Source organism: Homo sapiens, chromosome 4 (assembly GCF_000001405.40).
Source record: "Homo sapiens chromosome 4, GRCh38.p14 Primary Assembly".
Lineage (NCBI taxonomy): Eukaryota > Metazoa > Chordata > Mammalia > Primates > Hominidae > Homo > Homo sapiens.
Genome location: NC_000004.12, coordinates 142,456,259 through 142,471,053, shown reverse-complemented (window position 1 = coordinate 142,471,053; position 14,795 = coordinate 142,456,259). Strand labels below are relative to the sequence as shown.

Below are 14,795 nucleotides of genomic sequence, written 5' to 3'. Positions count from 1 at the left end.
TCATAAATGAGATATACAACTTTTAAATACAGCTTTTTACATTTAACATTTTGGTATAAGCCATTTTAAACTCTTCATTAACGTCTTTTTAATAGTGACCTAACATTCCATCAAATTAGTTAATGCAATTTATTCAAAGATTCCTCTATTGTTGAATATTTAGGATGTTTCTATTTCTTTCCTACTTTGGTCATATTGTGGTAACTTGTGTATATAACTTTTTTATACATTTAGGATTATTTCTCTAGAATGGAAACCCAAAATTAGAATTACTAGATCAAAGAATATGAAAACATATTTTGAGAAGCCAATGTCACACTTATTTAATGATGAAGAAACAAGCTCATTAATTTATTCAACATTCGACATATTTATTGCATGCCTCCCACATGCTGGCTGTGGTACTTGTAATATCATGATAAATATTTGACAGTCGTTTGTCTAAACAGCATTATTGTATAGTGGGTATTAAAATAGGATGTGCCTGAAATGAGCATCTTGTGCTAACCACATATGGTGAGAATGCCTCCTAGATTTTCTGGGACAGGGTAGGAACACTTTTAGAGTTCTTAGAAAATACTCTTGGGAATGTAGGAAAGTAGCATTCAAAGCAATCTCAAAATAGCATCAAGTATGAACTTTTTCTTCTTTGCCAATTTGTTAGATGAAATACTGTTGATCATTGTTTATAATGGTTATTTCCTTGAGTATTAATGAAGTTGAACATTTTTCATATGTTTATTCATGAATTGTTTCTTCATTGTGAAGCATCTTTTAAATATTTCTCATTTGATATTTAGTATTTGTACAAAATAGATTTTGGTATATTGCCTTTGTTGCAAATAATTTTATATCTGCTCCTATTTTTTTTTAAACTAGGGAAGTTTTTATGTAGCCCAATCTGCTATGCGTTTTCTTTATAATTTCTTCTAGCACTTATAAGCTTCAAAAGTAGAATTGACCCCTCCAAAAAAGTGTGAAAATTATCAATTCCATTTTTCTTTACTTTTTATTTTGTATTTTATTTGTATTTACTTCCATAATACATCTGGAATTTATATCCCTGTCTAATGGAACATAATTTATTTTATTCTAAAAGGATAGGCAACTGTCTCAACAATCATTAAATACTTCATTTCTTTTTTATAAATTTGTGGTGCTCACTTTATTATACATTGGGTTTAGGTTCGCTATCTATATGCAACCTTGGAGTCCTATGCCCATTTATATCAATTTCAATTGTAATAAAAATAATTGTTAATTTTTCCCCACCAGACATCTGAAGGAATTATATTGTCCCTTTAATAATTAGTGCAGTGCTTGGCATATGACAGGCATTATATATTTGTTGAATGAGCAAATGCATAAAATTGAATGTTTCTGGGATACCCATGTTTTCCCACTAATCTGTAAATCACTTTCTCAGCCATTTCTTCACTGTGTTACATGTTATGTCACAAAATATATTTTATCATTAGAGCAAAACATTTTATTAATATTCAGAATATTCTTTATGATCTAGAATACTTTCTTCAAATGAACTTTGGAAAATTTTAAGAGCTTCTAAAATTACTTTCATTAGAATTTTCATTGGAATTATACTAAAAATATAAATTAATTTGGAAGGAATTGATATTTATGCTGTAAATATTTCCCCACTTACACGTGTTACAGTTCTTTACTTCTCTTTATAGCTTCTTATAATTTTCCTTACAGAGTTATTCATAATTTCTTTATTGATTTTGTTGTTACTGCTGTAGTAATTTGGATTATTATAGCTGCTATTGGGAGCTGCATTCTTTTGGAAATTTTGTTTTCTATTTTTTGCTATTATATAGAAAAGCTATTGCTGCAAATTTACCTTGCATCCTTGAACTTTGAGTTATTTTATTAATTCTAATAGAATTTTTTTTTTTTTACAGTTTTTCTGTTGACCTGAAGGCTATGTTGAGAATGCCATTGTCAGCTTAATTCTACTTTGCCTTTACAATTAGGGATGGAAACTGAGCAACAACTATAAGATTTTTAAAACCTTTGGGAAATTAGATTTAATTTTAACATTTATCTTAAAAATAGTTTAATCTAGATTCTAGTAGCTATATGTGAATAATTTCCAAGACACATATTTTAATGCTGGACCTATTAGGGAACAAATGTATGGGTTCTCAGAACCCATGAAAACCTGTTGTCTTAGTTCATTTATATTGCTATAAAAGAACACCTGAGGCTGGATTATTTATAAAGAAAAGAGGTTTATTTGGCTTATGGTTCTGTAGGCTTTGCAAAAAGCATGGAATGAACACCTGCATCTGATGAGGGCTTCAGGCTACTTCTATTCATGGTGGAAGGGGAAGGGGAGCCAGTGTGTGCAGAAATTACAGGGCAAGAGAGGAAGCAAGAGAGAGCAAGAGGGGAGGTTCCAGGTTCTTTTTAAGAATCAGCTCTTGTGGAAACTAACAAAGTGAGGACTCACTTACTCTCCCCGGAGAGGGGCATTAATCTTTTCATGAGGAATCCACCCCCATGACTAAGGCACCTCCCATTAGGCTTCATCTCCATCATTTGGGATCAAATTTCAACATGAGGTTTGGAGGAGCTAACGTCCGAATCATAGCAGCCATATTGCAGAATTTGCTGACTTACATGGCATGATCTCTCCTTGATCTCTTCTAAATTGTATCTCACTCAGCTTCTGCCTTTGCTATAATATCCCAAAACCTCTCACTGATGTGGGCCCTTAACCTGGAGTTATTCAGGCTATTTGGGGTCAGCACAAGGCCCAGGTTTCTTCCATGGGGTAAGATGGAAAAGACAAATAGTCAGCTCTGACTTTAGCTATATCCCCATCACACCAGGATCCTGGGGTAGAAAAATAAAAAGGATGTTATGAAAACCTCATTCAGGGCTGTGTTAATTTGCTTTTGTATCATGGTAAAGAAATACTCGGAGCTGGGTAATTTATAAGCAAAAGAGGTTTAATTGGTCCATGGTTTTTCAGGCTTTACAGGAGGCATAGTACTGGAAATCTGCTCCTGATGAGGTCTCAGAAAGCTTCCACTCGTGGTGGAAGGCAAAGGAGGAGCAGGCACATCACATGGTGAGAGGGGGAGCAAGAGAGGGAGGGGAGGTGCCACTTTCTTTTAAATAACCAGATATTGCATGAACTCAGAGCAAGAGCTCACTTATCACCAAGAGAGTGGTGCTAAGCCATTCATGACGGATCCTCTTCCATGATCCAGTCACCTCTGATCAGGCCCACCTTCAACATGGAGAATCACATTTCAAAATGAGATTTGAAGGGGACAAACATCCAAACCATATCATTTTGCCCCTGGACCCCGAAATCTCATGTCTTTCTCACATTTCAAAATACAAATCATGCCTTTCCAATAGTCCTCCAAAGTCTTAACTCATGCAAGCATTAATTCAGAAGTCCCAAGTCTAAAGTCTCATCTAGAAATTAGTTCCTTCCATCTATGAACCTGTGAGATTTGAAAAAACAAAAAACAAAAAACAAAAAAAAAACTAGTTATTTACTCTCAAGATACAATGGTGGTATAAGCATTGGGTAAACATTCTCATTCCAAAAGGGGAAAAATTGGCCAAAAAGGGGGGCAATAGGCCCCACACAAGTCAGAAACCCAGCAAGGCTATCATTAAATCTTAAAGCTTCAAAACAATCTCCTTTGACCTCATGTCCCACATCCTGGTGTGAGGGCTGGACTCTCATGGCCTGAGGAAGCCCTGCCCCTGTGGCTTCTGTGGGCGCAGTCCACACGGCTGCTCTCCTAGGCTAGAATTGAGTGCTTGCAGCTTTTTCACGCTTAAGCTGCAATCTACTGGTGGCTCTGCCATTCTCAGGTCTGGAGGTCAGTGACCCCCTTTCCACAGCTCTACTAGGCAGTGCCCTGGTGGGGACTCTTTGTGGGTCTCCAATCCCACATTTCCCCTCCGCATTGCCCTAGTAAAGTTTCTCTGTTAGGGTTCTGCACTGGTGATAGGCTTCTACTTGGGCAACCAATCTTTCCTATACATCCTCTAAAATCTAGGTGGGAGTGGCCAAGCCTCCTTCACTCTTGCATTCTGTGCACCTGCAGGCTTAACACCATGTAGAAGCAACCAAGGCTTATGGCAGCTTGTGCTCTTCAAAGTGGCAGCCTGAGCTGTACCTGTACCTGAACCCCATTGAGCCATGGTTAGAGATGGAGTGGCCAGGATGTGGAAAGCAATATCCCAAGGCGGATCAGGGCAATGGGGCCCTGAACCTGGCCCCTGAAACTATTCTTTCCTCCTAGGCCTCTGGGCCTATGATGGCAGGGTCTTCCTTGAAGACTTCTAAAATGCCTTTGAGACCTTTTTCCCATTGTATTAGATATTTGCACTTGGCTCCCTTTTAGTCATGCCAATCTCTCTAGCAAGTAGTTGCTCTGCAGCCTGCTTCAATACATTTTCTCAAAAATGCTTTTTCTTCCCCTCTGCCACATGGTCAGGCTGCAAATTTTTCAAACTTTTACACTCTGCTTCCCTTTTAATTGTAAGTTCTAACTTTAAGTCATTTATTTGCCTTGTATCTGATTTAAGTTGTTAGAAACAACCAGATCACATATTGAATGCTTTGCTGCTTAGAAATTTCTTCTGCCAGATACCCTAAGTCATCAGTCTTAAAGTTCAAATTTCCACAGATTCCTAGGACATGGACAGAATGCAGCTAAGTTCTTTGCTAGGGATTGAGAAGGGTGACTTTTATTCTGATTCCCAATAAGTTTCCCATTTTCATGTGAGATCTCTTCAGCCTGGACATCACTGTCTGTATCTGTGTCAGCATTTTCGTCACAACCATTTAACCAGTCTCTAAGAAGTTCCAAACATTTCCTCATCTTCCTGCTTCTTCTGAGCCCTCCAAACTCTTCCAACTTCTGCCCATTATCCACTTCCAAAGCTGCTTCCATATTTTCTGGAATCTCTATAGTAACACCCCATTCCTTGGTACCAATTTTCTGTCTTAGTTTGCTCTTGTGTTGCTATAAAGGAATACCTGAGGCTAGGTAATTTATAAATAAAAGAGATTTATTTGGTTCACAGTTCTGTAGGTTCCATAGGAAGTATGGTGACAGGATTTGCTTCTGGTGAGGCCTCAGAAAGCTTCCAATTATGGTGGAAGGCAAAGGAGAAGCAGGCACATAGATGGTGAGAGAGGGAGCAAGCTGGGGAGGAGCTGTCACACTCTTTTAAACAACCAAATATCATGTGAACTTGGAGCAAGAACTCACTTATCACCAAGGGGATGTTGCTAAGCCATTCATGAAGGATCCTCCCCCAGGATCCGGTCACCTTCCACTAGGCCTCATCTCCAATGCTGGGAATCACATTTCAACCTGAGATTTGGAGTTGACAAACATCCAAACCCCATATCAAAGGCCACAAAAGGAATGGATACAGGGACCAAAGAAGGCACTGACCTATATAGAATAAAGTGGAAGCACAATAGGAGGCCACCTCAATTTTTTTGGAATATTCTGCATTTTAATTCTAAACAATAATGTTCAATTCAGTTTAACACCCAGAAGTTAGCATAGAAATTCAAATTTTCTACTAAAAGAAAACTTCTGTGTCCTAATTAAAGAAAATATCCTATTTGGTCATTTATCATGAAGATAATGATAAATGTTAAATAACGTCTTGTTTGCATTAAGTCTGTGGGATGTATATTTAAGGTGACTATACACTTCATTGGGTTTTAGTAAATACTGGTTCTTGCTACATGATGGGAGCTGACAAGTAATGAATGACCCCATAATGGGAACAAAAAAAAAGTCTGAAAGACTCAGGCTCACATAGGACAGTTGATCTTTCTGCATCATAAACTTTTGTCCTTTAGACTTGCACAGTTATCCAGTTTATATTTGATGTATCTATTCATTGCTATATAAAGTGTTACCCATCTTGTGTATGCATTACGGGTATTTAAAAAAATTATTCAAGGGCTTGTTTGGACACTATGGACTATATGAGACTATGTTGGCCTTTGTATGATCATATTTTATTTGCAAGGTAAACTCATCACCTTTGCAGAAGTAATGTCAACTAAAACATCCAGAAGAGATGTGCAGTCTGTTCTGTTAATAAGGACAGGATACTGCCATCTACTCTGTACAACAGAGCACAATGCTTAGATTTGGGTGGATTTGAATAAGATGAAAGATAAATTATGATTTTGTTCAAGTGTTAAAATAAAACTAAGACACTTAAGGACCACAAAAATTTAGACCAAAGTATCTTGTAAATTCTACCTGGTGAAAGTTTGATATAGCACACATATGACTTTTCTATATTATTTTCTGTTTTGAGTTTAGTAGTAAGCAGATGGTTTGTATTTTCTTTAGTTGCAACTAAGTGATCAGTTTCATGATTTCTCTTACTATGAAACATTTTTTTTTTTTCTTAACAGTTATCTTAAAAGCAACTCTGGGTCTACTGGGCTCAAAAAATGAGAAATCTAAAGAAAAACTGGAATTTTTTTTCCCCAAATTAAATGAGTCCTGGTATAATTTAAAGCCTATTCTTTGTAGTTTCACCTGCTTATATTGTAAACAATACAGAATGATGAGAGACATATGATAATATGAATGAGAAAATTTTATATCTCATCTGCATTATTGACATTACTAGGGGAATGTTTCTTTCAAATGAGGTACAATGGTTAAAGAACAACTTTAATCCAATGAGTTACTACATCTTTTGACCAAATAATATGAAATCATTTTATAAAAGATAGTAACTGATAGTAAATTTACAATTTGAAAACTATTCCTGATAATAAAATAGAGAAAAGAACCAGGTAACATTTTTATACACATATTGAATTATATATAATAGTAAATTGTTTTATAAATAGCATGATATATAGTAGTAAAATGCCCAAACTCTGGAACCAGATCAGTGGTTTTAAATTCAAATACTACTCTTTACCTGTGGGACTCTGCCTGAATTACTTCACCTGTCTTTGCCAAATTCTCTCTATATAATAATAATGGTACCTCCCTTATAGGGTGGTTGTATTGGGGGTCCCCAAGACTTCCTTTAGGCTGATCGTTTTACTAATATATCAGTCTGTTATCATACTGCTAATAAAGACATACCTGAGACTGGGTAATTTATAAAGGAAAGAGGTTTAATTGACTCAGTTCTGCAGGGCTGGGGAGGCCTCAGGAAACTTACAAATATGATGGAAGGGGAAGCAAACATGTCCTTCTTCACATGGTGGCAGCAAGGAGAAGCACAGAGCAAAAGGGGGAAGATCTTATAAAACCATAAGATCTTGTGAGAACTCACTCACTATCACCAGAACAGCAGCACTGGGTAACCACCCCCATGATTCAATTACCTCCCACCAGGTCCCTCTCACAACATGTGGGGATTAAGGGAACCATAATTCAAGATGAGACTTGGATGGGAATACAGCCAGACCATATCATCTAAGATACAGAAAAGCTGTATAATCATAGTCATGCTTTATTATAGTGAAAGTATACAAATTAAGAACAGCAAAGAGAAAGGTTCATGGTGCAAAGTTTAGGAACAAACTCCCAGCTATCCTCTCCCAGTGGAGTCACATGGAGGTGTGATTAAAGCTGCCAGCAAAATGATGTATAACCCATGAAGTGTGGTAAACCAGGGAAACTCGGCCAAGCTTTGGTTTCTAGAGTTCTATTAGATGTCACTCACATAAGCATGCGGCACTGGGTGATTCAGACACCAGAACCCCTTCCCACAAGCAAAAATAAATGTTCATCATAAATCACATTTTAGAATAAATATATCTGATCCAACTGAAACAGCATAGCCTAAGGCCTCATGCATACAAAACACTCTTATCAGGTAGACTCTTCCAGGAGTTCAGAGGTTTTCTCCCAGAAGCTAGCTGAAGGCTAGACTTGAAGAGTCACCTTTCTTTGTGATGGGCAGAGTTTGAGGAACTCAGGCCTGCTGAGTTAACCCTTTCTTGCTGAGTAGTTATGAGGAATAAATGAGTTAATCCATGTAACTTAATATAGTGCCTGGCATAGGATAGTACTTGGCACACTTAAGCAGCAAACAAGGATCAGCTATAATTTATTCTAGAGGGGCTCTATGGGCTGAATGAAGCTGACTAATTTGGGATAGAAATAAGAAATAGCTATGCTCCATGAATCTTGTGATGATGATAAATCCCTAAGTTTGAATGATGGGCATTATAAGCATATTAAACACTTTACCTATGGGTGCTTTAGTAAGAAAATTTCCAGTAAACACTAAATCCTGACTTCTTTCCATTTTGTTTTTTGCAGAGCCTTGAAACCAGCGAAACAATAATCAAAGAGCAGTTCTGTCAAAGAAAACAACATAAATCAGGTACAAGAGTTATTCTCAACACGTAACATCAACACATTGTATTCATTTAAACTGATGATTAATTCGAGCTTATTAACAAAATATTTTACAATAATGCCAGTTAGGTGTTTTAGCATATGTGTGACTGCATGTTATAGATGACTGGCCAAATTTTATAGATAAATTAATTTCTATAACTACATTAAACCAATTTTGAGGGTTTTAGTTAGGCCAGGCCTAGCCTAGGCAGAAATGTTAAGAAATTAAGAAATTAATATTATTACTTATTATTAAATTAATGCATATGCTTTATTTGGGAAACACTCATCTGTAAGGCGATTTTATAGAATTGGACAAATCAGGCAGTACTTACAGTGCAGTAGAGGAGATTCAGTAGATATCAATATATAAGTAAAAGCTGTGATAAATGCTATGATGTAAAATAACAGAATTCTATGGGATAAAATATTGGGAGACAAAGAATCTACTGTGGATTGGGTAGACAGAGGCTATTTCTCTGGAAGATGACATTTAACCTAAGACCTAAAGTTTGAGAATAGAGTCCCAGGCAGATGGAAAAGCATGGAACAAAGAAAATAAATGAAGAAAAAAAAGAAAGAAAATAATTGAAAGAAGAATAGTGTGGCTACAGCAAAGTCACAGAAGGGAAGACAGATATAAATGAAGCCGGGTTGAAAATAAGATGAAAAGCCCAGCCCCATAGGTCCTTAATATCCATTGTAAGAAGCCTCTGAACTTGCTCTGCTTGCATTTCTGTGTGATGTCATTTGGTCTTCTCTCCTGGTCCCCTGAATATAGATGCTTTCGAATCTGTCACCTGACCTCACCTTACCCCAACGTGTGTGTGTGTGTGTGTTTGTACTTTTATTTAACTTAATATTTCCTGAAGTCATTTTCAGGATTATAAGGATTATATTGGGAAATCTTTCAAAAGTTTACCTCTTCGGAATATGCATTTTAAGAAGTTTCTTTTGTACCTGAGACTGGCCTGCTTTTAGGGAGCTTGACCTATTTTATGGCTATGAGCATTAAACTACGTTAGATAATTTTCTAGAATCTAGATAATGCAAGCCAGAAAAAATCTGATTGCTTCATTGGTTTATTTTTTTCCAGCTGAAGATTTTTCTTGACCTTAATTATATGGTTAATTGCCTCAAATCCTGATTATACTTCACATGTGGAAATATAGCCTCAGGTATCAAGAACAACTGGAGCAAAAGCTTCCTAAATAATTTTCAACATTAGCATTAGTAATACTGGTTTTCTTAAACGGAGAAAAACTACACAAATTGCTGTTTGCATCTCAGTTAATCTGAATCATATTTCTTTCCTTTGAAAATGCTTATTCTCTTTGATTTATAAAGTTTTATAATGGAGGCTTCTGAAAAAGTCTTAAAGTAAGGCAAATGACTTGGGGTAATGCCTACTTTAGTACTTTAAAGAATGATTTGATCTCTAAGAAATAGCTATGTTCCATGAATCTCACTCTGTCACTCAGGGTCTCACTGTGTCACTCAGGCTGGATTGCAGTGGCGCAGTCATGGGTCACTGCAGCTTCGACCTCCCAGGATCAGGTGATCTTCCCACCTCAACCTCTCTCAGTAGCAGGGACTACAGGCATGCACCACCATGCCTGTCTAATTTTTTGTAGAGATGGAGTTTCAGCATGTTTCCTAGGCTCGTCTTGAACCCCTGAGCTCAAATGATCCACCCATCTTGGCCTGCCAAAGTGCTGGAATTATAGGTGTGAGCTACCATGTTGGGCCAATGATTTGATTTGATATAAAATGTGGAGATTTTGTCTTTGCAGCACTAAAAGTCTGAAAAACCCAGAGTTGACTTATGCTTATTTTGGAAGAGAAGTTTTCAGCATATGTGTTGCAAAGGGCATCGACTTTTTTAGACCAATTCAGCATCTTCCAATTAAGTTGACTGTTATTAAAAACTGAGACAAACATCACAGAATTTCCTAGGATTTCATAACTTACAGACAAAACGGCTTGTTTCATACCAGAAAGACAAGAGACAGCTGCTTTTTAATTACTACTCTTGCCATTTGCTTTCTACTAGAGATGTGTCTCAAACGTGGAATCTAATTAGAAATCTTAATTGAAAATGGATTCTTAAAAAAAGAAAAGAAAGAAAATAGACCAACATTGAAACTTAAATGTAGGAAGAAAAACATCATATTCCAGCCGGATTGAATAATCACCCATCTGAAAATTAGTTGGCATCTGGGGAGCATGTTATCTGACACCAAATTGAACTTTACTGTTTCCTCTTTCAGGAGGAATTTTCCAAACCAAATCATCAGGAGTCTTGTAATCTGTAAATTATTGTTTTCAGCGATTATATTTTTCTCAGAATAAAAGCAATGGTGAATTTTGAAGCCTGGGTTAAATCCCAGCTGCTTTACTTGTTTCTAGTGTGACTCTGGGCAAATTTTGTAACTATTCTTAATCTCAGTTAACTCTTCTCTAAAATGGGATTTGCAAATCCTGTTTTTTCAACATTGTCACTGTCTTGTTGCTCTCTTGACTGACACATTGACTGGTATGTAGTAGCATATCTGGATATAGCAAGTTCTAGAAAGGAAGGGAAGGAAGTTAGAAAAAGCAAGGAGGCTAACTTTGAGAACATATATCTAAGACAATATTGCAAATACAAAACACTGAGAAAGTGCTTATTCTGTACACTGCAGGCAAAGACTTAAAGGCACATTCATTTATCCTTTTATTAAAAGTATTTTTTTCTTGTAGATGTTCTAGATTCTGCTATCCAGATTTAAACTCCAATTAGAGGCATAGTAACATATAATTTCTGAATTACAGAACTTTGCATGCTGCTAAGCTTGATAGATGCTCAATTAATATTTGATTGATTGAGTGAAGCTATGAACTAACAGTGCTAGGACGCAGATAGCCCAAATTGTCCTATTCTCTGGTTTCCAAACATTGTATCTAACATCTAGAGTAAGAGAAATTACGCTTCTCTGTGATTTTTTTCATTCATTGATAGTAGAGATTCTAGCCAGACTGAATAATCACCCATCTGAAAATGTGCTGCTTCTGCATGCACTGCTACCATCAGATTGCCAGTTTGCTATTATTTGTGTATATTCCACATTACTACCTTTTAGTCTTTATTCACATTTTTAAATCCTCCATTGTCAATATTCTCTTCCCTATTTTCTTTCCCATTCTTCTTCCTTTCTTCTTCGTTTCACTCTTACTCCTCTTCCTTCCTTTTATCTACCCTCATGTTTTTGATGCAAAAATTTATTAAATTCTTATAAAAATAATTGCCTCCATGAAACTGTCCTAGATATTTCCTGAGATAATGATCTTATCACCTTTGTTTTTTTTTTTTTTTTCATTTGTTTGTTTTCAGGCACTGTCCTTTGATCCGTATCTGTGAAAACTGAGCCTGAAACACAGCCAGTGAAAGTCAAGCCACATAATATGTGAATGCCTCTTTCCTTCTATCCTCTACTCTACCCTGTTAACCTTTCCTAACAAACACAAACACCAAGGGAATGTCCCACTGGCAAAGCTTGCAGCTTCCTTCCACACTGCTTTCTAGGTTACTGGTGGAATGAATTTAGGCTGTGATCACCAGGCTGCAGCCATATGAGTTGTCTGAGTCAGGCTGGCTTTTTGAATGAGTCCTTAATTTTTGTTCCTGCTTTCCTGAAAGTCGGGAGCCAGGCTCTGCAGCACAGTGAGCTAGGTGTCTTAATTCCCAGGACACCTGTCTGCATCACTTTCCTTGTGGCCTTAACTTACTTTGAGTATTTCTCCCTGATTTATGACTTGGATATACACAGAATGCTGAGAACTGCTCTTCCACAGAAGCCTGTTCTACTGTTTCTCTATCAGCCACATCAAACCCAAGGGAGCCTCATTTTTATTGATGTGTATTCAGATCAAATTGAAGTGTATCAATTAAGTCGTGGCGACTGGGACTCTTGGCTCCTTTATAGATGAGTGAATATTTCTGTGCCAGTTTTATCCTTCTTACTGCCTTGTCAAATTGGTTTGCTCCTTTTTTTATTCCTGCAATTCTTTTCATTGATTTCACATTTGTTATTATCAAAGCTTTCAAATTGTTCCTCTCTTAGGCTGTTTCCCACTCTCCTGGCCATATTAATAATAAATATAATTAAAATAAATAATACCATAATATTTAATGACCACTTCTAAAATATTTTTTGTTTTTATTCACTGTTTAAAATTTGCATACAGTAAATTTTTCACCTTTTGGCATATAGTTCTTTGAGTTTTGACAAATGCACACATTTGCGCAGCCACCACTACAATCAAGGCACAGAACACTTAACATTATCCCACAAAACTTCCCTCTTCCTGTCCATTTATGGTCAAACTCTTCTGCTTACTTACTGGACTTTTTCTATACCTATAATTCTGCCTATTTTATTTATGCCATTAAAATAGAATTATACAGTACACAGCCTTTTGAGCTGGCCACCTTTTACTTACATATTGTGCTTGACGTTCACCCATTTGTCTCTTTATTCCTTTTTAACTTTATTTTACAGGTTTATCACTGTAAAATTGTCCTTTTACTATTTGAAGATCTTTAGGATTGTTTTGGATTTTTAGTTATTTTTTAAAAGCCACTAAAAGCATCTGTGTCCAGGTTTTTGAGTAATCAAAGATTTCATTTCTCTTGACTAAACACCTAGAAGTTAGATTGCTGAGTCATACTGTAGGTGTGTATTTAATTTTATAAGAAACTACCAGACAGGGGCAGGTATGGTAGCTCACGCCTGGAATCTCAACACTTTGGGAGGCCAAGGTGGGAGGATTGCTTGAGCTCAAGAGTTTGAGACCAGCCTGGGCAACAGAGTGAAACACTGTCTTTAAAAAACAAAAACAAACAAACAAACAAAACTAGCAGATATTTTCCCAAAGTAACTATACTATTTTGCATTCCCACTTGCAGTGTATGAGAGATCCATACATTGGAAGGTTGGTTAACACCCTTACCAGAGATTGGTATTGTCAGTCTTGAGAATGATTGATAGTTATTCTAATATGTATGTAGTGATAGTTCTCTGTTGTTTTAATTTATATATTCTTAATGACTAATGACACAACATTTTTTCCATGTGCTTATTTAGCATCAATATATCTTATATGTTTTCTTTGGTGTAGTGTCTATTTAAATTATTTGTCCCTTGTTTTTTAGTGAATATTTTTGTTTTCTTATGGAGTTTCAAAAGGTCATTAAATATTCCATATTGAAATTCCTGATCACATATAAGTTTTGCAGATATTTTTTCCAATGTGTAGCTTGTCTTTTCATTTTCTCAACAGTGTCTTTCACAGAGTGGAAGTTTTCAACTTCAATAAAGTCAATTTTACAAATGGTTTTCTTTTATGGACTGTACTATGTTTTGTGTCATATTAACAAATCTTTACCAAGGTCTATAGAATTTTCTTCTATATTTTCCTGTATAAGCTTTATAGTTTTAGGTTTTACAATTAGATTATTAATAGTGAGTTGATTGTATAAGGTCTGAAATGTGTTTTTTTGTTCTTTTGCACATGGATATTCAATTGTTACACTATTTATTTAAATAATTATTTTTTCTATCCATTGTATTGCCTTTGAATCTGTAAAAAAATAATTGATTATGTATGCATGTATTGTCTCTGTCTTATTATTCGGTAACTATTCTTCTTCCAAGGTCTTGTTATTTTTTAAATTAAGTAGTTGAGTTCTCTGATTTTGTTCTGCTTTCTCAAAACTGTTTTTGCTATCCTTTCTTTGCCTTTCCATATATGGTTTAGAATTAGCTTTTTCTTGATATCTACTAAAATTCTTGCTTGGATTTTGATTTATTTATATTCAATCATCTATAGATCAGTTTGGACAAAGTTGACCTTTTACCAATAATGAGTCTTCTAATCCATGAGCGCAGTATCTCTATTTAAATAGATCTTATTTTATTTCTTTCATCAATGTTTATAGATTATAGCACATAGATTCTATATAAAGAACAAAACTGAATGAAATTTTATGTTCTTTATATTTTATATTCTATATGAAGAACATAAAGAGCAAAACTGGAGGAATCACATTACCTGACTTCAAATTATATTACAGAACTATAGTAACAAAAACAGCATGGTACTGGCATAAAAACAGACACATAGACCAATGAAACAGAATAGAGAGCCCAAGAACAAAGCCACAGACGTACAGTGAACTCAGTTTTGACAAAATTGTCAAGAACATACACTGTGGAAATGAGGCTGGAAAAACTGTATATTCATAAGCAGATAAATGAAGCTAGATCCCTATCTCTCACCATATACAAATCAAAATGAATTAAAGATTTACATCTAAGACCTCAAACTATAAAACTACTACAAGAA

General features: G+C 35.8%; 1 protein-coding gene across 36 annotated transcripts in view; it reads left to right on the top strand.

Annotated features, from left to right (window-relative positions):
- The window catches only part of INPP4B (inositol polyphosphate-4-phosphatase type II B), an 823,376-nt gene that overhangs the window by 375,482 nt on the left and 433,099 nt on the right, over positions 1-14,795 (top strand). For 34 of the 36 annotated variants that reach the window (NR_169617.1, NR_169615.1, XR_007057981.1 and 31 more), the window contains one exon: positions 8,328-8,391. The exons of 1 other annotated variant lie outside the window; for it this stretch is intronic. The gene's annotated coding sequence lies outside the window, so the exon portion shown is untranslated. Of the gene's footprint in view, positions 1-2,998; positions 3,098-8,327; positions 8,392-14,795 lie in introns of all 36 variants that reach the window. One more of the 36 variants, NM_003866.3, reaches the window with a different exon arrangement.